The sequence below is a fragment of the Homo sapiens genome, chromosome 17 (assembly GCF_000001405.40).
Source record: "Homo sapiens chromosome 17, GRCh38.p14 Primary Assembly".
In the NCBI taxonomy this organism is placed as follows: domain Eukaryota; kingdom Metazoa; phylum Chordata; class Mammalia; order Primates; family Hominidae; genus Homo; species Homo sapiens.
The window spans coordinates 59,033,499-59,054,790 of NC_000017.11; the positions used below are offsets into that span (position 1 = coordinate 59,033,499).

At 41.5% G+C, this 21,292-nt stretch overlaps 1 protein-coding gene across 47 annotated transcripts in view; it reads right to left on the reverse strand.

Annotated features, from left to right (window-relative positions):
• The window catches only part of TRIM37 (tripartite motif containing 37), a 139,680-nt gene that overhangs the window by 66,298 nt on the left and 52,090 nt on the right, over positions 1-21,292 (reverse strand). For all 47 annotated transcript variants that reach the window (NR_148347.2, NR_148346.2, XM_047436110.1 and 44 more), the window contains 4 exons: positions 17,716-17,830; positions 15,680-15,895; positions 14,185-14,321; positions 8,315-8,400 (listed from right to left, as the gene is read on the reverse strand). Coding sequence is in view for 45 of the 47 variants with exons in the window: in XM_047436110.1 (XP_047292066.1) it covers positions 8,315-8,400; positions 14,185-14,321; positions 15,680-15,895; positions 17,716-17,830 (554 nt within the window). In the remaining 2 variants the exon portion in view is untranslated. The remainder of the gene's footprint in view (positions 1-8,314; positions 8,401-14,184; positions 14,322-15,679; positions 15,896-17,715; positions 17,831-21,292) is intronic.

A 21,292-nucleotide genomic window follows, 5' to 3' on the forward strand; every position in this document is an offset into this window, starting at 1 on the left:
CTCCACTCACGGCAACCTCCGCCTCCTGGGTTCAAGCGATTCTCCTGCCTCAGCCTCCCGTAGTGGGGACTACAGGCATGCACCACCACACCTGTATTTTCAGTAGATACGGGGTTTCACCGTGTTAGGATGGTCTGGATCTCCTAACCTAGTGATCCGCCCGCCTCAGCCTCCCAAAGTGCTGGGATTACAGGTGTGAGCCACCGCACCCAGCTGAAAACTGTTTTTACCTCTTTTCTTTTACTAAGGAATTCCCAAATTGGGTTGTATGTCAGTCAGCTGAAGGAGTTTTTAAAATTACATCCTAGATACACTGAACAAGAATACTGGGGTGAGAAGCTGGGTGCAGTGGCTCACGCCTGTTATCCCAGCACTTTGGGAGGCCAAGGTGTGCAGATCACCTGAGGTCAAGAGTTAGAGACCAGCCTTGCCAACATGGTGAAACCAAAATACAAAAGAATAGCCAGGTGTGGTGGCAGGCACCTGTAATCCCAGCTACTCGGGAGGCTGAGGCAGGAGAATTGCTTGAACCTGGGAGGCAGAGGTTACAGTGAGCCAAGATCACACCACTGCACTCTAGTCTGGTTGACAGAGTGAGACTCCATCTCAAAAAAAAAAAAAGGATACGGAGGTGAGATCCAGGACTTTTTCCCAAAAAGCTACTCAGATCGTTCTTATGTATAGTTAAGTCCAGTAGCCCAGTGAATGGAATCTATTGCCCTAATATCTGATTCTCCTTTAAAAATGTAAGTTGCTCATTCTTCCATGTTAAAGGCACTTACAGTAGAGAAAGCGGTGTCTCCTGTTTCTCACTGCTTTTTCAGGCCATTATTCTCACTACTGAACAAAAACTGCTTTTTTTTTTAATGTGGGTATGACCTTTGGCTACTCCCCTTTCAAATGTTCCCAGCTTTCTTTTCTTTTTTGTTTTTTTGAGACGGAGTCTTGCCTCCCAGGTTCAAGCAATTCTCCTGCCTCAGCCTCCCTAGTAGCTGGGATTACAGGCATGCAGCACCATGCCTGGCTAATTTTGTATTTTTAGTAGAGACGGGGTTTCTCCATGTTGGTTAGGCTGGCCTTAGAACTCCCGACCTCAGGTGATTGGCCCGCCTCAGCCTCCGAAAGTGCTGGGATTACAGGCAGGAGCCATGGTGCCCGGCCTATGTTCCCACCTTTCTACCCACTATCACATTTCCCCACAGGCATCAAAGACTTTGGGTTGGCACTGATTTCAGTTTCTCTCTTTCCAAGCTATTCTGTGTGTCTCATATATAAATGTACATCCCAATGAATGCTCACAAAGTGATCACACCCAGATGAAGAAATATATTATCAGTACCCCAGAACCCCCTCCTATGCCTCCTAAAATTGCTCACTACTCCTACTCTACAAAAATAACCTTCATCCTAACTTAAATTACAGATGGGTTTTGCCTGTTTTGTATTTGTATAAAAGTAGTAACAGAGTATGCTCTTATGCTCTTCTTCTTTGGTCAACATTATTCATGAGATTCATCTATATGGCTGTATATAGAAGTATCTTATTCATTTTCTTTTTAAATATTTTTCTTTTTTTCTTTGAGACAAAGTCTTGCTTTGTCACCCAGGCTGGAGTACAGTGGCACAATCTTGGCTCACCGCAACTTCCACCTCCCAGTTTCAAATGATTCTTGTGCCTCAGCCTCCCGAGTAGCTGGGGTTACAAGCGTGCGCCATTGCACCAAGCTAATTTTTTCTACTTTCAGTAGAAATGAGGTTTCGCCATGTTGGCCAGGCTGGTCTTGAACTCCTGGCCTCAAGTGATCCACATGCCTCAGCCTCCCAAAGTGCTGGGATTAGAGACATGAGCCACTGCCTCATTTTCATTATTATTGTGCAGCATCCATTTATGAATATATCCAATTTATTTCTTTATTCTATTGGAAAACAATTTGGGTTGCTTCTAGCTTTTGGCTATTAAGAATAAAGCTATACAGCCAGGCGCGGTGGTTCACGCCTGTAATCCCAGCACTTTCAGAGGCCGAGGCAGGTGGATTACGAGGTCAGGAGTTCAAGACCAGCCTGGCCACAATGGTGAAACCGTCTCTACTAAAAATACAAAAATTAGCTGGCCGTGGTGGAGGGCACCTGTAATCCCAGCTACTCGGGAGGCTGAGGCAGAATTGCTTGAACCCAGGAGGCAGAGGTTGCAGTGAGCTGAGATCGTGCCACTGCATTCCAGCTTGGGCAACAGAGCGAGATTCAAAAAAACAAAAAAACAAAAAACCAAAAAAACAAAAAAACAACAAAAACCATGCTTCTGAAGTTCACATAGAAAAAAAACCTCATAAAAAGACAGACGGATCGGTGACAGGTTCTTCTCCATTTGTGCCAAGCCATATGGATCTTGCTAAAATGTCACACTTATATACTTGAGTTCATTACAGCATACTGCCTGTATGCATTATCATGACACTCAAGGCCCTATTATAGTCTAGTCTCAAACTACCTTTCCAGAATATTCTACATTTTCACATCCTTCACTTTGTTACAAATTACATACCGATATTTACCATCACAAAATCTTGTAATGATCAGTGCTGGATTTTCATTTAAAAATTATGCTCATTCATTCTTCTAACATCTGTGGTCCAGGTGCAATAGCTCACGCCTATAATCCCAACACTTTGGGAGGCTGAGGCAGGAGGACTAATTGAGGCCAGGAGTTGGAGACCAGCCAGGGCAAGAGAGCAAGACTCCGTCTCTATAAAAAATTAGTTGGGCGTGGTAGCATCTGCAGACGTCTTCTTATGAGAACTGCTTTTAGTTTATTCAGTTATTTGAAGTTAAATGAAAGACAATTTATGTTAAAAAAAATTTGTGCTAAAAAGGTTTTAAGTATCATTCTAATCCAGATTATTGGCTCATTGAATCCAGTGAGTAGGAAAAATCTAGTTTGTATTTGCTGGGGGTGTGTGTGTGTGTGTGTGTGTGTGTGTGTGTGTGTGCACGCGTGTGTTTTAAGAGACAGGGTCTTGCTCTGTCACCCAGGCTGGAGTACGGTGGCAGAATCATGGCTCACTGTACCCTCGAACTCCTAGGCTCAAGTGATCCTACGGCCACAGTCTCCCAAGTAGCCAGGACTACAGCCAGTTGAGTCAATAAATATTTCTTGTTTCAAGCTATCTCCTTATTTAATATGGTCTATAAAATAAGATTATTAAGTAAACATTTAACTTTATACCTAGCTTTTATATAAGCCCAATCATCCCCTTTTTAACGCATAACTTAACATCGTAATTCTTTAGATCACATAACTCTTTAGACAATTGTGTAGTTCTAAAACATTAACCAGGCCAGGTGTGGTAGCTCACATCTGTAATCCCAGCACTTTGGGAGGCTGAGGCGGGTGGATCACTTGAGGTCAGGAGTTTGAGAGCAGCCTGGCCAGCATGGTGAAACCCCATCTCTACTAAAAATACAAAAAAGTTAGCTTGGAATGGTGGTGCATGCCTGTAGTCCCAACTACCTGGGAGGCTGAGGTAAGAGAATGGCTTGAACCCGGGAGGCAGAGGTTGCAGTGAGCCGAGATCGTGCCATTGCACTCCAGCCTGGGCAATACAGCAAGGCTCCATCTCAAAAAACAAAACAAAACAAAACAAAAACAAAAAACACATAAACCATTCGAGGCTTGAAATGGACCTTCATAATAAGCATATTAAAAAAAAGCATTTCCACACTCTGCCCAGTGTCACCCCGATCTAGCTTTTTCATTGCCTTGGTTTAAAAAGCTTTTTATTGGCCAGGTGCAGTGGATCACACCTGTAATCCCAGTACTTTGGGAGGCCAAGGAGGGCAGATCACAAGATCAGGAGATCGAGACCATCCTGGCTAACACGGTGAAACCCCATCTCTACTAAAAATACAAAAAATCAGCCGGGCGTGGTGGCGGGCGCCTGTAGTCCCAGCTATTCGGGAGGCTGAAGCAGGAGAATGGGGTGAACCTGGGAGGCGGAGCTTGCAGTGAGCCAAGATCATGCCACTGCACTCCAGCCCGGGCAACAGAGCAAGACTCTGTCTCAAAAAAAAAAAAAAAAAAAAAAAAAAAAAAAAGGCTTTTTTAATTTTTTTATTTTAGTATAGTTTTAGGTTTACAGGAAAGGTAAAAATACAGAGAGTTCCTGTACAACCCAGATCCAATTTCCCCAATGTTAATACCTTTCATTACTATGGTATATTTGTCACAACTAATGAACCAATACTGATATATTATTAACTAAATCCTATACTTTATTGAGATTTTAGTAGTTTTCCCCTAATGTTCTTTTTCTGTTCCAGAGTCTCACCTAGAGTACTGAAATACATTTAGTTGCTCCTGTCTTTTTAGACTCTTCTGGTCTATGACAGTCTCTCAGACTTTCCTTATGTCTGAAAGTATGTCAAATATTTTGTAGAATGTTCCTCAATTAAGGGTATGATTTTTTCCCTCATGATTAGATTGTGTTTGTGGGTTTTTAGGGGGAAGATACTACAGATATAAAGTACCATTGTCAACATATCAACATGACTTATCACTTACAATACTGTCAACATGCTATCAACATGACCTATCACTTACAATACTAAATTTAATCACCTGGGTAGGTAATGTTTGCCAAGTTTCTCTACTTCAAAGTTGTTTCCCCCTTTTGAAACTGTACTATTCAGAAGCAAGTAACTAAGCACAGCCTACATTTAAGGGGTAGAAGTTATATTTCATCTCCTTGAGAAGGGAGTATTTAAATGATTTGGAATTCTTTTGTATGTACATTGTCATATTCTAGCTAATTGTTCATAAATATACTCACCCTTAGGTTATAAATTACTTAGTGTTGTATGTTCCAGGTAGGCATGATATTTAACAAATTTCTGCCAAATACATAAATTTCCCAAAGCATATAATAAAAATAAACTGGTTCATTATTATGTCTTCAACATCTAGAATACAGTGCCTGGATTATTACAGAATATTCAGAATTATAACATAGGCTCCATAAGAACAGGGATATCTTGTTATTCAATATTGTATCTCTAGATAGTAAAACTGTACACAGCTCAAGTGCTCAGTAAATATTTGATGAATATATAATTCAAAAATGTAAACTCTTCTTTACCCTAAGTGTATATAAATGTTATATACAAGAATCTCTCTACCACACAGTTTAAGAGAGGAAAGAATGGACCTAACTAAAAGAAAACACACAAGGCTGAAAAGTTAGTCAGTCAGTAAGACCTAATGCCATACCAGACAAGGATTAAGTCACACGCTCCCTATACTTAAAGAATAAACTACATTCTAACTGCAACAGAATTTCTTCTTTTTTCTAGAAGCTAAGCAAGCACTGGCCTCAAGATAAGCAATATTGAAACAATTGCAGCTTACTGACTGCCAGATGCTGACTGACTCACTCCCTGTTCCACAGCCGTAACTACAGCTTTGACTGGACAAGAGACTGATTTCAGTAACTTTCTCCTGATAGGAGTCGCCAACCATGGACTGGTTCTGGCCCGTATACAGAGGCTGAGCATTGAGTGCCTTCGTGTCCTTGGCTTTACCTTTTGACAACAGGGCCTAATTGTAATGCATTTAAATTGTTCAGTCCCCACTCCAAAGTAAACATGAAATGCATGTAACATGCATGTTTGTCTACTATGCATGCGTGTGTTTCCCTTTTCATGATGTTCACAGCTCCTCCTATAGCCTGCTGAATCGATTTAGTTGTACTTGGCCAACTTATTCAGCATCAATTCCTATGTTACCCTTCCCTCCTGCAAAGTGCCTGCTTTTAGTCTTTGCCAGAGGCCACACTTCCCAGCCTGTCAGGATGGCCAGTCTTTTTTTTTTTTTTGAGATGGAGTCTCGCTCTGTCACCCAGGTTGGAGTGCGGTGGCGCAATCTCAGCTCACTGCAAGCTCCGCCTCCCAGGTTCACGACATTCTCCTGCCTCAGCCTCCCGAGTAGCTGGGACTACAGGCGCCTGCCATCACACCTGGCTAATTTTTGTATTTTTAGTAGAGAGGGGGTTCCATCATGTTAGCCAGGATGGTCTCAATCTGCTGACATCGTGATCCACCCACCTCGGCCTCCCAACGTGCTGGGATTACAGGTGTGAGCCACCACACCCGGCCCAGGATGGCCAGTCTTTATAAGAATTAAAGCTCTTCTCTCCAAATTGGTAGATCTTGTGATTCTTTGAAGTTCCTCCTGACTAAAGAATGATACAGAGGAATGACAGAAATAAGGCTAAGGAAACAAACAGGAATCCAGACACAAAGGAATTTATGTGCCATGTTAACAAGTTTGGACTTTATCCTATAATAAATATAATCCTTAAAGAGTTTTTAAGTAGAGAAATAACATGATTAGATATTATTTTTCATTATTTTTATTTCTATTTTTGACACAGGGTCTCACTCTGTTGCCCAGGCTGGAGTACAGTGGTGCTATCTCAGCTTACTGCAGGCTCCGCTTCCTGGGCTCAGGTGATCCTCCCACCTCAGCTTCCCAAATAGCTGGGACCACAGGCAGCAATTTAGCCACCACATCTGGCTAATTTTTTTGTATTTTTTTGTAGAGACAAGGTTTCACCACGTTGCCCAGGCTGGTCTCAAACTCCTGGACTCAAGCGATGCACCCACATCAGCCTCCCAAAGTGCTGAGATTACAGGCGTGAGTCACCAAGACTGGTAGAGAAGTAACATGATTAGATATTAATCAGAAAGAAAAAAACACCCTCATTCTGAATCCATGCTGTAAAAATACAATGGAGGGGAACAATAATAAATACAAGGAACCCAGGTGAAAGACAGAGGCCTAGACTAGAAATGGCAAAGGAGTGGGAGTACCAAATGAATTTATGCACGATTTAGGACACAGAACCAACAGATCTTGGTAATACACTAAAGGTAAAGTTTTAGGGAGAGGAAGAAGTAAAGAATGTATAGCATTATCAGTCACGGTGGCTACTGCTGACAGGCAGGCTGGCAGATGAAAAGACAGTAATTTGTGTTTGGGAAGTGCTGAATCACACACCAAGACATGGGTTTGGAAACTATGGAAAGACAAAGGCTAAAGAAAGAACTTGAAAAGTAATCAGCATATAGACAGTAACTGAAATACAGGTGTGGATAAGATTACCCAGGATTAAAGTCAGGAGTAGAAAGAATATAGAGCTTAGGTTGGAGTTGAAATGGTGAGGACTAGTATTTAAGAAATCTTTAGTTATCCCAGCATATTAAGAATATGCCAGGCCGGGCGCGGTGGCTCACGCCTGTAATCCCAGCACTTTGGGAGGCCGAGGCGGGTGGATCATGAGGTCAGGAGATCAAGACCATCCTGGCTAACAAGGTGAAACCCCGTCTCTACTAAAAATACAAAAAATTAGCCGGGCGCGGTGGCGGGCGCCTGTAGTCCCAGCTACTCGGGAGGCTGAGGCAGGAGAATGGCGTGAACCCGGGAAGCGGAGCTTGCAGTGAGCCGAGATTGCGCCACTGCAGTCCGCAGTCCGACCTGGGCGACAGAGCGAGACTCCGTCTCAAAAAAAAAAAAAGAATATGCCAGTGTTCATACTGAGGAGAACATGGGTAAAACAGAAACAGTAGAAAGCTAACTTTTAATTACTCTAACCAAGATTCACTACTTAATTAAATAGATCCGAGAACACACAAAAAAGTACTCATTATATAAGTCAGTTCTTCCCAGGAGAAGCAGTGTTTTAGTTTGGGAGAAAAATGCTGGGTCCACAAACCCAGGACAATCTGGGGTTCTAGTCTGGTTGTACTAACAACCAGCTATATGACCAGGTAACTGAAAACTATAAAATGAGCTCTTTAAGATCCTTCGTAAGTCTAAGAGTCAATGATTCCACTGAGATCATTCTATAGTCTAGCAAGATATACAAATAAGACTTTATATCAGAAAGAATAGTATAAAATATGAGCATGGGATACAAACAAATCTGGGGATTCAATTACTCTCATTTACTAAATTGTTAAAAGTTGGCAAGTTGCTTTAATTTCTCTATGCATCAGTGAATGTATCACACAGAATTTTATTAATATAAGGTACTTAAAGTGCTTCTCACAGTGCCTGGTACATAAAACATTTTTCAAATGTTAGCTATTGTTTTAAATATCTTTAGTAATAAACTCTAAAAAATCCATATTATAAGATATACCACTTCCAACACCATGAACCATGTACAAGCAGTGGCTACCACCTATTTAAAATATAATACAGTCAGAGAAGAGCAGAGAGAAAACAGAATGGCTTGGAGGCAGTGGAGTGACCTCATTACCTGCGGGTCCTGCAGCAGCTGCATCTTCCATGAGTTCTCCCTCTTCTAATTCCATGTTGTTATATTCCACATCATTTTCTCCAGACCTAAGAATATACAAAATCCATCATTTATATAGAGTGATACAATAAACGTTGTTTTTCACACCTCAATAAATTTTATGATATGCAGATTTTTCTGTGAAATAAGATATTTCTAAATACAAAAAGGAGAAAGATTTTTGTCATTTTCCAAATTTAAGTAGCGTTAATGTTATTGTTTAAACAACCTTTAAAAAATATCGGCCGGGCGCGGTGGCTCATGCCTGTAATCCCAGCACTTTGGGAGGCTGAGGCAGGCGGATCACGAGGTCAGGAGATCGAGACCATCCTGGCTAACACGGTGAAACCCTGTCTCTACTAAAAATACAAAAAATTAGCTGGGTGTGGTGGCAGGCACCTGTAGTCCCAGCTACTCAGGAGGCTGAATCAGGAGAATGGCGTGAACCCAGGAGGCAAGCTTGCAGTGAGCCAAGATTGCACAACTGCACTCCAGCCTGGGCGACAGAGCGAGACTCCATCTCAAAAAAAAAAAAAAAATCAGCCAGTTCTTCTTAGAAAGCTAAGAAAAAAAGGAATTTAAAAAAAAAAAAAAAAAAATATATATATATATATATATATATATCTCAAGGCCGGGCGCAGTGACTCACGCCTGAAATCCCAGAACTTTGGGAGGCTAAGGTGGGAGGATCACCTGAGGTCAGGATTTCGAGACCAGCCTGGCCAACATGGCAAAACCCTGTCTCTCCTAAAAATACAAAAATTAGCTGGGCGTTGTGGTGGGGACCTGTAATCCCAGCTCCTCGGGAGGCTGAGGCAGCAGAATCGGTTGAACCCGGGAGGTGGAGGTTGTAGTGAGCCAAGATTGCACTACTGCACTTCAGCCTGGACGACAGAGCGAGACTCTGTCTCAAGGAGGACAGGACAGGACAGGAAAGGAAAGGAAAGGAAGATTAAAAAAAAAGAACTGTGTCAGGCAAAAAAATAGAAATAAATGAAACACTAAAAAATCTAAGAACCACTATTAGAAGAGATTAATCTCTCCTATTTAATTAGTGTTAGAAACACTAATAAATACAAGAACCACTGTTAGAAGAAATTACAGCTTCAGAGAACTGGTAGCTTAATGGCAATAAGCTTAAAACACTACATGTAGTGTTAGGCTTAAAACACTACATTTTAACATCCAAAAAAAGCCCAAATTACTGTATATGACTAAATACCATTTTTCAAAAATAATATTTCAGCAAAGAGGGTATTACTTCCTACTCGGCCATACAAAGTCTCTCATGTTAAAAAACAATCACTATTACTTTATTTTAAACAACATACTACTTGAAACAGTACCAGTCAATGACAGTCTTGGGTATTTAAGGAAATCTCAAGATAAGCACCCAGCTTGACAATGTAAGGAGCTCTGTAGGTCTGCTCTTTAGTCAAACTGGTGACAATTATTTTAAAAACAACCACTTAACGACTCTGGAAATGGTCCCAAGGGCATACAGCAAATGAAGAAACATCTACTCAAAAAAATCTATAAAAACTGGGTAAGACAAGTGGGCATCTGCAGTATTTGAACCAAGATCACTCCACTTCCTAACTTGGTGTTACAGAAATTCCACTCCAGACTGGTGCAGTGAAGAACACAGGCCTCCCACTTCCCGAACTTCCAAGAGGAGGGCTATATTCCTGGGAGTGGCAAGGTATCAGCATCTCTCATTCTGCCCCCAGCTACCTATTGCTGATGCTATAGTACAGGCACACACGGCCAAGAGGTGGAGACTCCCTTCTGCTGAGACCCACTTGTGGACTAGATGCTCTACCTGGATGCAGCATGATGAGAATACTGGGGCCCAGATCATCCCTGCCCCAGCTTATTCATAAGGTGGAGGTCCCAAGCCTGAAAAGGAAAGAACTAAGGCTACTGTCCCCAACATCCAGTTAGCTCAGCTTCTAAAGTAAGAGAGGTACACCTTTATCCTTACTCCAACTTCAAAGCTTTGGCTCAGAGATTTTGCCTATGGGGAGAAGCAGAGACACATACAACACTCAGAGAAACATACAACACTATTAAGAGCATCAACGAAATATAGTTGGCCTTCTTTATCTGTGGGCTCTGCATCTGTGCATTCAACCAACTGTGGATCAAAAATATTTTTTAAGCCCTGGTGTGGTGGTTCATGCCTGTAATCCCAGCACTTTGGGAAGCCGAGGCTGGAGGGACTTCTTGAGCCTAGGAGCTCCGGGCCAGCCTAGAACATAGTAAGGCAACATAGTGAGACCCTGTCTCTACAAAATATTAAAAAATTAGCCAGGTGTGTTGGCATGCACCTGTAGTCCTAGCTACTTGGAAAACTGAGGTGGGAGGATCACTTGAGCCCAGGAGGTCGAGGTTGCAGTGAGCTGTGATCACGCGACCACTGCACTCCAGCTTGGGTGACAGGGCAAGACCCCGTCTCAAAAAATAAAGCCGGCCGGGTGCTGTGGCTCACCTGAGGCCAGGAGTTCAAAACCAGCCTGGTCAACATTGCAAAACCCTGTCTCTACTAAAACTACAAAAAATTAGTCGGGCGTAGTGGCAGGCGTGTATAATCCCAGCTACTCAGGAGGCTGAGGCAGGGGAACTGCTTGAACCCAGGAGACGGAGGCTGCAGTGAGCTGAGATTGTGCCACTGCACTCCAGCCTGGGCGACAAGAGCGAAACTCCGTCTCAAAAAAAAATAAATAAAACAAAACAAAATAAAGTCATGCGCAGACATTTTCCCCTTGTCATTATTCTGTATACAATAGAGTATAACAACTACTTACATAGCATTTGCATTGTATTAGGTATTATAAGTAATCTAGAGATGATTTAAAAGTATAGGGGAGGATGTGCATAGGTTATATGCAACTACTCTGCCATTTTATATAAGATACTTGAGCATCCTCAGATTTTAGTATCCAAGGGCGGGGTCCTAGAACCAATACCGCAAGGATACTGAGGGACAACTGTACTAGCAAACAGAATGCAGTAACATATAAAAAGAATCATGAGCCGAGTGTGATGATGCACACCAGTAGTCCTAGCTACTATGGAGGCTGAGGCAGGTGGATCACTTGAGGCCAGAGTTGAAGGTTACAGGGAGCTATAATCATGCCACCATACTCCAGCCTGGCCACAAAGCCAGATTCTCTTAGGAAAAAAAAAAAATTGCTGGGTGCCGTGGCTCATGCCTGTAATCCCAGCACTTTGGGAGGCCGAGGCAGGCAGATCACAAGGTCAGGAGATTGAGATCATCCTGGCTAACACGGTGAAACCCCATCTCTATTAAAAATACAAAACAAAATTAGCCGGGCAAGGTGGTGGGCACCTGTAGTCCCAGCTACTTGGGAGACTGAGGCAGGAGAATGGTGTGAATCCAGAAGGCGGAGCTTGCAGTGAGCGGATATTGCGCCACTGCACTCCAGCCTGGGGGACAGAGCGAGACTCCGTTTCAAATAAAAAAAAAAGAAAAAAAAAATTACGGCTGGGCGAAGTGGATCACACCTGTAATTCCAGCACTTTGGGAGGCCAAGACGGGTGGATCACGAGGTCAGGTGTTTGAGACCAGCCTGGCCAACGCAGTGAAACCTCGTCTCTACTAAAAATACAAAAAATTAGCTGGGTGTGGTGGTGGGTGCCTGTAATCCCAGCTACTTGGGAGGCTGAGGCAGGAGAATCGCCTGAACCCGGGAGGCGGAGGTTGCAGTGAGCCGAGATCATGCCACTGCACTTAAGCCCGGGTGACAGTGCGAAACTCCGTCACAAAAAAAAAAAAAAGAAAAAAGAAAAAAAATTACACACTATGACCAAGTGGGATGTGTCCCAGGAATGCAAGCTTGGTTTAAAAATCCAAAAATCGCCAGGCACAGTGGCTCACACCTGTAATCCTAGCACTTTGGGAGGCTGAAGTGGGCAGATCACCTGAAGTCAGGAGTTCAAGACCAGCCTGGCCAACATGGTGAAACCCCGTCTCCACTAAAAATACAAAAAAATAGCCAGGCGTGGTGGTGCACGCCTGTAATCCTTGCTACTCGGGAGGCTGAGGTGGAAGGATCACTTGAACCCAGGAGATGGAGGTTGCAGTGAGCCAAGATCGTGACACTGCATGCCAGCCTGGGTGACAGAGCAAGACTCCATCTCAAAAAAAAAAAATTATCCACATTAATGAAATTCATTAGTTCATCAATTAACAGGGCAGAAGGAAAAGCTCTTCCTTAAATTGCAACTAATGAATGAGTAAGAAATAATGGAATTAGAAAAACACCACTTGGCAATCAACACAGTAACCTTTTTCAGGCAACACTCATCAAAGGGTGTCAAAATTCATAGGAAAAAGTAGGATGAAAAATAGGATATTTACAGTCCCATACATAAGATACTTATTAATTATAAAGGAAAAAGTACAAATTTTGGAGTGAAGAAACCTGGCGGATGCTACCTCAACTAAGTGATCAAAATTAACCACAAGTAATGGGACATACTGACATCATGCTCCACTCTGTATGACGCAGTGAAAAGGATACATTATCATTTCCGTAGTATCCCTGCCAAAAGTGTGTAACCTCTATCTAATCATGAGGAAACTTCAGACTAATCCAAACTGAGGGACTTTCTACAAAATAAACTATTCTGTATTTCTCAGAAAGTATTAGTCATGAAAAACAGTTTTTTTTTTTTTTTGAGACAGAGTCTCAACTGTCGCCCAGGCTGGAGTGCCGTGGCGTGATCTTAGCTCACTGCAAGCTCCGCCTCCCGGGTTCACCCCATTCTCCTGCCTCAGCCTACCAAGTAGCTGGGACTACAGGCGCCTGCCACCACACCTGGCTAATTTCTTTTTTGTATTTTTAGTAGAGACGGGGTTTCACCGTGTTAGCCAGGATGGTCTGGATCTCCTGACCTCGTGATCCACCCGCCTCAGCCTCCCAGAGTGCTGGGATTACAGGCGTGAGCCACCGTGCCCAGCCGAAAAACAAATTTTTAAAAAAGTAACCCAGATTGGCCAGGTGCGGTGGCTCACGCCTGTAATCCCAACACTTTGGGAGGCCGAGGTGGACGGATCATGAGGTCAGGAGATCAAGACCAACCTGGCTAACACGGTGAAACCCCGTCTCTACTAAAAATACAAAAAATTAGCTGGGCGAGGTGGCGGGCGCCTGTAGTTCTAGCTGCTCGGGAGGCTGAGGCAGGAGAATGGCGTAATCCGGAAGGTGGAGCTTGCAGTGAGCTGAGATCATGCCACTGCACTCCAGCCTGGGCGACAGAGCGAGACTCCGTCTCAAAAAAAAAGGAAAAAAAAAAAAGTAACCCAGATTGAAGATAACTAAATCGATTTAACAATTAAATGCAACATGATCCTGACAAAGGACATTACTGGCAAATTTTTAGAAGGTTACAGTATTACATCAATGTTAATTTCCAGATTTTGATAACTATTCTATAGTTATGTAAGAATATCCTTGTTTTTAGAAAAGTACACAATGAGAAGTATATTCGATCTCAAGTGTTTCAGAAAAAATTATATACAGAGAAATATAAAGCAAAATATTCATAGGGAATGAATCTGTGTGAAGGAAACATGAAATTCTGAACTTTTCTTAAGTATAAAATAATTTCAAAATTCAAATTTAAAAGTTAAAACACAAACAAAAATTATTGGCTAAGAGCCCAGAGATTAGAGAGAGAAAACTGACTATTGATTCAATCTTTCAAAAAAGTGCTGAATATCCCTACATTTAAGTGTGAGTTAGTTAATATGCTTCTAATAATTACCACTTAAATGCTTTACAGTAGTAAAGTGGGAAACTCACATAGTTTCTTCATCAATATCATTTTCTTCTGTATTACTTGTTGCTGTGGAACTAGCAGAGGAACTGCTGCCATCGAGCTGATTTACTTCATCCTCATAAACAAGATCCAGATCCAGATCTCCATCTGAAAGCTCGTGCTAGATCAATGCCAAGAAAACAAGACGTCTATTCCAAATGTTTCTACTCAGTTGATCACCCCATCCAGCCCATAAACCAAGCACCAAAGAATAATACAGTTTTCAAAAATCTATTTTCTGCTCCTGTGCCTCAGCTGCTGAGCCCTGTAGAGAAAAATCACACAACCACACTGACTGATATCATTTTACTAACTTATGCGTGCCGCCTTCAGCTGGGCCCTCAGTGTGACTGGAATCCTTCACATATTCCACATCAGCTTCCTCACAGAGTAACGTTTCAAACCATCACTCCTCAATTCTACCTAATTTTACCATTATCAAGGTCATTAATTAACACTGTCACCTATCTGCACAGAAAAAAAATACCCACTATTAAGCAAAAACTTCCCCAACTTTTCAGCTGCCTTACCTGCAAACTCCACCCTTCCTTTAACTCAGTTTATCAAAGGTTAACTGCTTCACCTGACTGCTCCATTCCAAACCCTATTATCTCTAGTTTATCAAAGCACTTAATCTGTGCATTCTCTCGACCCACTGGGTCCTTCATTTTAACTTAAAACTGAAGTCTCTCATCTTAAAAATTACTACAAAAAAACCAACTGTCTATGCATCCCTTCTTATGTAAAAATATCAACTACTTCTTGAACTCTTATTCTGGATTCTGACTGTTGTTTAGCTGGGATAGAACCTGGCTAGCTACCGAATCCTAAATCAGTCTACCTACGTAAGTAATGATAAGGCATGTACTAGTTTCAGTGAATGAAAATAGAACACCTTTTTTTTTTCTTTTTCTTTGAGACAGAGTCTTGCTCTGTCTCCCAGGCTGGAGTGCAGTGGCACAATCTTGGCTCACTGCAACCTCCGCCTCCTAGGTTCAAGTGATTCTCCTACCTCAGCCTCCCAAGTAGCTGGGATTACAGGCAAGCACCACCACACCCAGCTAATTTTTGTATTTTTCGTAGAGACAGGGTTTGGCCATGTTGGCCAGGATAGTCTCGAACTCCTGACCTCATGTGATCCACCCACCTTGGCCTCCCAAAGTGCTGGGATTACAGGTGTGAGCCACCGCACCCGGCCAGAACACATTTTTAAAATCCACAATGTATGGTAGTTTAGGTTTTAAAATGTGTATCACGGTTTGTTTTATACAATGTATTGTTTTTTTCACAACCTTGAAATGCTTTGATTCAACAACTTCTGACTTATTAACATTTACATAAGGGCATACATACATTACTAATGGAAATCAATGGACAATATTTTTAGCCTACTGTTTTAGCACATAATATGTTAAAAGCCATGATGCTACTGTTTTTTTTTAATCAAACACAAAAATCTAAAACTGGCCTCATTATTACATGATAATCTTCATTCTGAATCTTCTCCTCATCTTCTTCATCCTCTTTGGCCTCTCTTACAGAAGCTGTAGTAGGACCACCTTCGAGAAGCATGTCAGAGCATGCAGACTTCTTAGCTCGTGTCTCCAGAGCATCATCATTTTGGGGGCTAAGATGGTTATCTGGTGGTGACAAATCTCTTGACTTCTGAGTTCGAGACAGCTCAATAGTAAGTCTCTTTTAAAACAAGAAAAGCACAAATATTAGCCACAGCTCACTGGCACAGTAAAAGATGTCTCAAGTGAAAAAAAAATGCATCCAGATGTTTCTAAAACCATTGCTTTATTTATTTTTTGAGAATGGTCTCACTCTGTTGCCCAGGCTGAAGTGCAGTGGTGCCATCATAGCTCACTGCAAGCCTTGAACTACTGGGCTCAAACGATCCTACTGCCTCAGCCTCTCAAGTGGCTGGGACTGGAGGTGTGTGCCACCATGCTTGGCTAATTTCATTTTTATTTATTTTTAGAGACGGTATCTTGCTATGTTGCTCAAGCTGGTTTTGAACCCCTGGGCTCAAATGTTCCTCTGGCCTCGGCCTCCCAACATGCTGGGATTACAGGAATGAGCCACCTCACTTGGCACCATTTCTTAAACCATTTCTCTGAATCCCTACTGCCTTTTATTTATAAAAAAAAATTGATGACAAAGATAAACTGCCCCATTTATGCTCATCCTCCTTCTTTCATATCCAGCCTAAGCTAAACATACAATTAGCAAACAGTATAGTGAATACAGGCAGTTTTAAATAGCACATTTAACATGAAAATCTCTGAAAGCATGTATTTATTCACATTTTCCTCCCTGACCTATTAACGACTCTCAGCACTCCAAACCTCCTGCCACACCCTAACTTCCTAAGGGAAATGAAACATTCCTTAGTTTACCACTGTAAAATAAAAATTCATCAATTAATCTTCCCCAGTGCTCATTCAACAATAGTAAGAGTTCAAGATGGGACAACTTTTAATTGTGCTATAGCCTAGAATCCTCTAAATCCAAGATAACTTGTGGAAGAGAAACTAAGTCACTGACAGAAACACAAACAGCTTACCTCAAACTACAGCCACACTGTTCAAAACAACTTTATGCAATGATGGAAATGCTCTAGATTTGCAGTAACCAATGCAAGCACTTGAAATGTGGCTACTGCAACTAAGGAACTAAATTTTTAATTTTAATTAAGCTAAATTTACAGACCAGGCACAGTGGCTCACACCTGTAATCCCAGCACTTTGGGAGGCCAAGGCAGGCAGACTGCTTGAGCCCAGGAGTTCAAGACCAGCTTGGGCAACATGGAGAAACCCATCTCCACAAAAACAAAAACTAGCCATGACACATGCTCGTAGTCCCAGCTACCTGGGAGGCTAAGGTGGGAAGATCACCCGAGCTTGGGAAGTTGAAGCTGCAGTTAGTGGAAATTGTGCCTGGCAACAAGAGTGAGTCCGACCTGTCTCCAAAATAAAAAAAAATAAAAATAAAGTGGCAGGGCGTGGTGGCTCATGCCTGTAATCCCAGCACTTTGGGAGGCCGAGGTGGGCAGATCACGAGGTCAGGACATCGAGACCATCCTGGCTAACACTGTGAAACCCTGTCTCTACTAAAAATACAAAAAAATTAGCCCGGTGTGGTGGCAGGCGCCTGTAGTCCCAGCTACTCAGGAGGCTGAGGCAGGAGAATGGCGTGAACCCAGGAGGCGGAGCTTGCAGTGAGCCGAGATTGCACCACTGCACTCCAGCCTGGGCAACAGAGCGAGACTCCTTCTCAAAAAAAATAAATAAATAAAGTAAAATAAAAATTTACATGGCCGTATGTGGCTAGTGTCTACTAAACTGGACACTGCAGAACTGGTAAGGATGGGGAACAAGATAACTAGATTTTTTTTCTAATTACAAATTACAAAATTACAAATAGCAATAAAATATATAAAATCTAATTACAAATATAACAAGCCAAAAGGACAATAGGAAACACCAAAACAGAAATAGATATTTTCTTACCTCTTTAAGGTTGTTTATTTGTTGGATATAACTAGTCTGTGCAGCTTCCAACTGAGTAATGTACCAATGCTGGTCCCGGGATTTTTGAAAGAAAGTTGGTGAACGTACCTGAAACCTTAAAAGAATTGTGCCACATTAAAAAAAAAATTCAAATAGTAAAACATTATCAGTCTAGCACTGAATTCTGCAATTTGGGTTAACTTGATTATAAGGCCAAAATTCACATAAACTTAGAGCTGCTAGTATTTGTTGTTTATAGATGTAGTCCACAGATTATGACACAAGGTTCTGAAAAGCCAGTTGTCCTCAAACTACCTTTCTAAAGAAATAACATTGTACATTGTAGTTAAGCTTCCCAAACTAACCTACTCAGGCATATTTATTATAATAATGTAACTAAAATACAATGATGATCATGAGTTGGGAAGAAGAGAGCCATATACTATGCAGTTTCCTCCTATAAGGAGGAAGATAACTCTTATCCCTTTCTTCCCTAAATGAGGCCCCAGCAAAATACAAAGTTTTTTTTTTTTTTGAGACGGAGTCTCGCTCTGTCGCCCAGGCTGGAGTGCAGTGGCGGGATCTCGGCTCACTGCAAGCTCCACCTCCCGGGTTCACGCCATTCTCCTGCCTCAGCCTCCCAAGTAGCTGGGACTACAGGCGCCCGCCACTACGCCCGGCTAATTTTTTGTAGCAAAATACAAAGTTTTAAGTGCTGCTCTTTATATTTCTCTATTCCATCTCACGTTCCCGTATTTCCTGCCCCTCAGAAAAAAAATCACTTCCTGGCTCAACCACCCAGGATTGCTTTACTATCCCCCAAGGAGTTACATGCTCTAAATAAACTATATCCTGAACCCTTCAAGATAGCAATCAAAACTGCCCTTATTACAATATGGCATTATTTCAGCTTAGGTTAGGAAAAAAAGTACTGCACCTACATAAAATCGTATTAATATATAAATGACAGAATCTTAATCTATCCAGAGTTGTTTTAATTAAAAAAAAAAAAAAAACTATTACTAAAGCAAACAAACCTCTACCTTTGTTACATAGCCTAACGTGACTATATTTAAGGTGAAAAAATTGCAGTGCATGTGTGAAGGTGTTTTTGAAGAAAGGAAAAACCACAAGGCAAGACTAATTTGGACATCTACATCTCTCTCATTCCTTCCAGCCCTTTTACCCGGCTACACAATGTTAGCTGTTCATTTTTTTCTAGGATTTTACACCTTATTGTAAGAACCTACTGACCATTTAACAGTTATCTGGCAGTAGATATCTAGTTTTAGTGAAGAATACTAATGCAAGAAAGGACAGAACATAAACACTGACTATAAAACAACAGTCCTATTTAATGTTGGGATAGTCTTTATAGGTCAGAAGTTTTTGGGCATCATTATATGTTATAACTGGATGATCAAAATGAGAACTTGAGTATTAAAAAAAGAGAGAGATTGGCCGGGCACAGTGGCTCACACCTGTAATCTTAGCACTTTGGGAGGCCGAGGTGGGCAGATCACCTAAGGTCAGGAGTTCGAGACCAGCGTGGCCAACATGGTGAAACCCCGTCTCTACTAAAAGTACAAAAATTAGCCGGGTATGGTGGCGGGCGCCTGTAATCCCAGCTACTCAGGAGGCTGAGGCAGGAGAATCGCTTGAATCTGGGAGGCAAAGGTGGCAGTGAGCCGAGATCGCACCACTGCACTCCAGCCTGGGCAACAGAGCGAAACTCTGTCTCAAAAAATCAAATCAAATCAAATCAAATCAAATCAAATCAAATCAAATCAAGAGATTAAATTACGTTCTGAACGGAACTGAGTAGAGATGATTCACTCAACTGAGCAGAGACGATTCACAGTCTAGGAAGTACCCACTGGTAAGACATTAAAGTAAGACCGTCTAAACACTATTATTTTCTTTGAATGATTTAAACCACTGGTTAACTCTGCACATTAGTTCTAATATTTTGCCATTAAAACAAAACCAAGCAGCAGGTAAAATTTCTTAACTTTCTGTTTTAATGAAAGAATGAAACATACATTCATAGTTATAGAAAAGCCTTAAATAACTTTCTAATAAATACATACAAAATTCCACCAGAATCTTGAAATAAAAGGTTTAAAGTTTGAGCAATGTCTCATTAATAGGATAATGTGAAGCCCCCTATCCACAAACTTCATAGCAATTTACTTACGGTGCTACTATAGCATTATTTTATAATAAGAGAGTAGTAAATTCTGTTTTTATCTGCCAATTTCATCTTGAGTTCCCTGTGGACAAAAACCATGTCTATATTTTTCTTATTAGCAACTCAGTGTCAGGCATATGGTATAGACTCAATGTTGCTTAAAAAAAATGATGTCATAACAGGAATTTGTTTCTGTACTAATAAGTAACGCTAATAAGGATGAAATCAAGGCTATAAGAAAATGGGTCTTTTATAGGTTGGTAAAATTGATGTTTGAATAATTTTGTAATTCTCTCTATGGCTGAAGCATGAAATAGCAATAAATTATTTCTCTTGGTGAATAGTTAAACCCCAAAAGTCTGAAAAGCTATACGAAGAAAACTAAAATAATCCCTCCCCTCAAAAAACATGATTCCAGGCACCGTGGCATGCACCTGTAATCCTACCTACTTGGGAAGTTGAGACAGGAGGATCACTTGAGCCCGAGAATTCTAGACTAGACTGGGCAATATAGCAAGACACTGACTCTAAACAAAACAAAACAATAACAAAAACATATCTTTTTCCCTACACTGAAAATCATATCCCTTGTTAAACTTCTTTATACTTCCAGAAAAGCTACGGAAAACACATAAGAGTAAATGCTGATATGATAGCAACTCATCTGTCCAGTATGCTCAAGAACAAAGAGCTCCGAATAAGGGAAATTCAGGAGTACATTAAATCACTCTCAAGAAAAAAATGTTTAAAATTGTTGTGATGAGAACTTTTTAAACTGTTAAATACTCTGAAACTTCTCAGTTCAGAACATATTTTAATCTTTTTTAAATATTCAAGTTCTTATTTTGATCATCAAATTATAACATCATGTAATGATACCCAAAAACCTTTTTTTGTTTGTTTTTTGTTTTTTTAAGATGGAGTTTCACTCTTGTCGCCCAGGCTGGAGTGCACTGGTGAAATCTCGGCTCACTGCAACATCTGCCTCCCGGACTCAAGCGATTCAACTGCCTCAGCTTCCCAAGTAGCTGGGATTACAAGTGCCTGCCACCATGCCCAGCTAATTTTTGTATTTTTAGTAGAGACAGGGTTTCACCATGTTGCCCAGGCTGATCTTGAACTCCTGACCTCAGGTGATCCACCCACCTCAGCCTCCCAAAGTGCTGGGATTACAGGCGTGAGCCACGGCACCCAGCCAATGCCCAAAAACTTCTGACCTGTAAAGACTACCCCACGTTAAACAGGGCTGTTGTTTTTATTTACTTTATTATTATTTTTGAGATAGGGTCTTGCTATGTCGCCCAGGCTGGGGTGCAGTGGCATAATCTCGGTTCACTGCAACCTCCACCTGCCGGATTCAAGCGATTCTCCTGCCTTGGCCTCCTG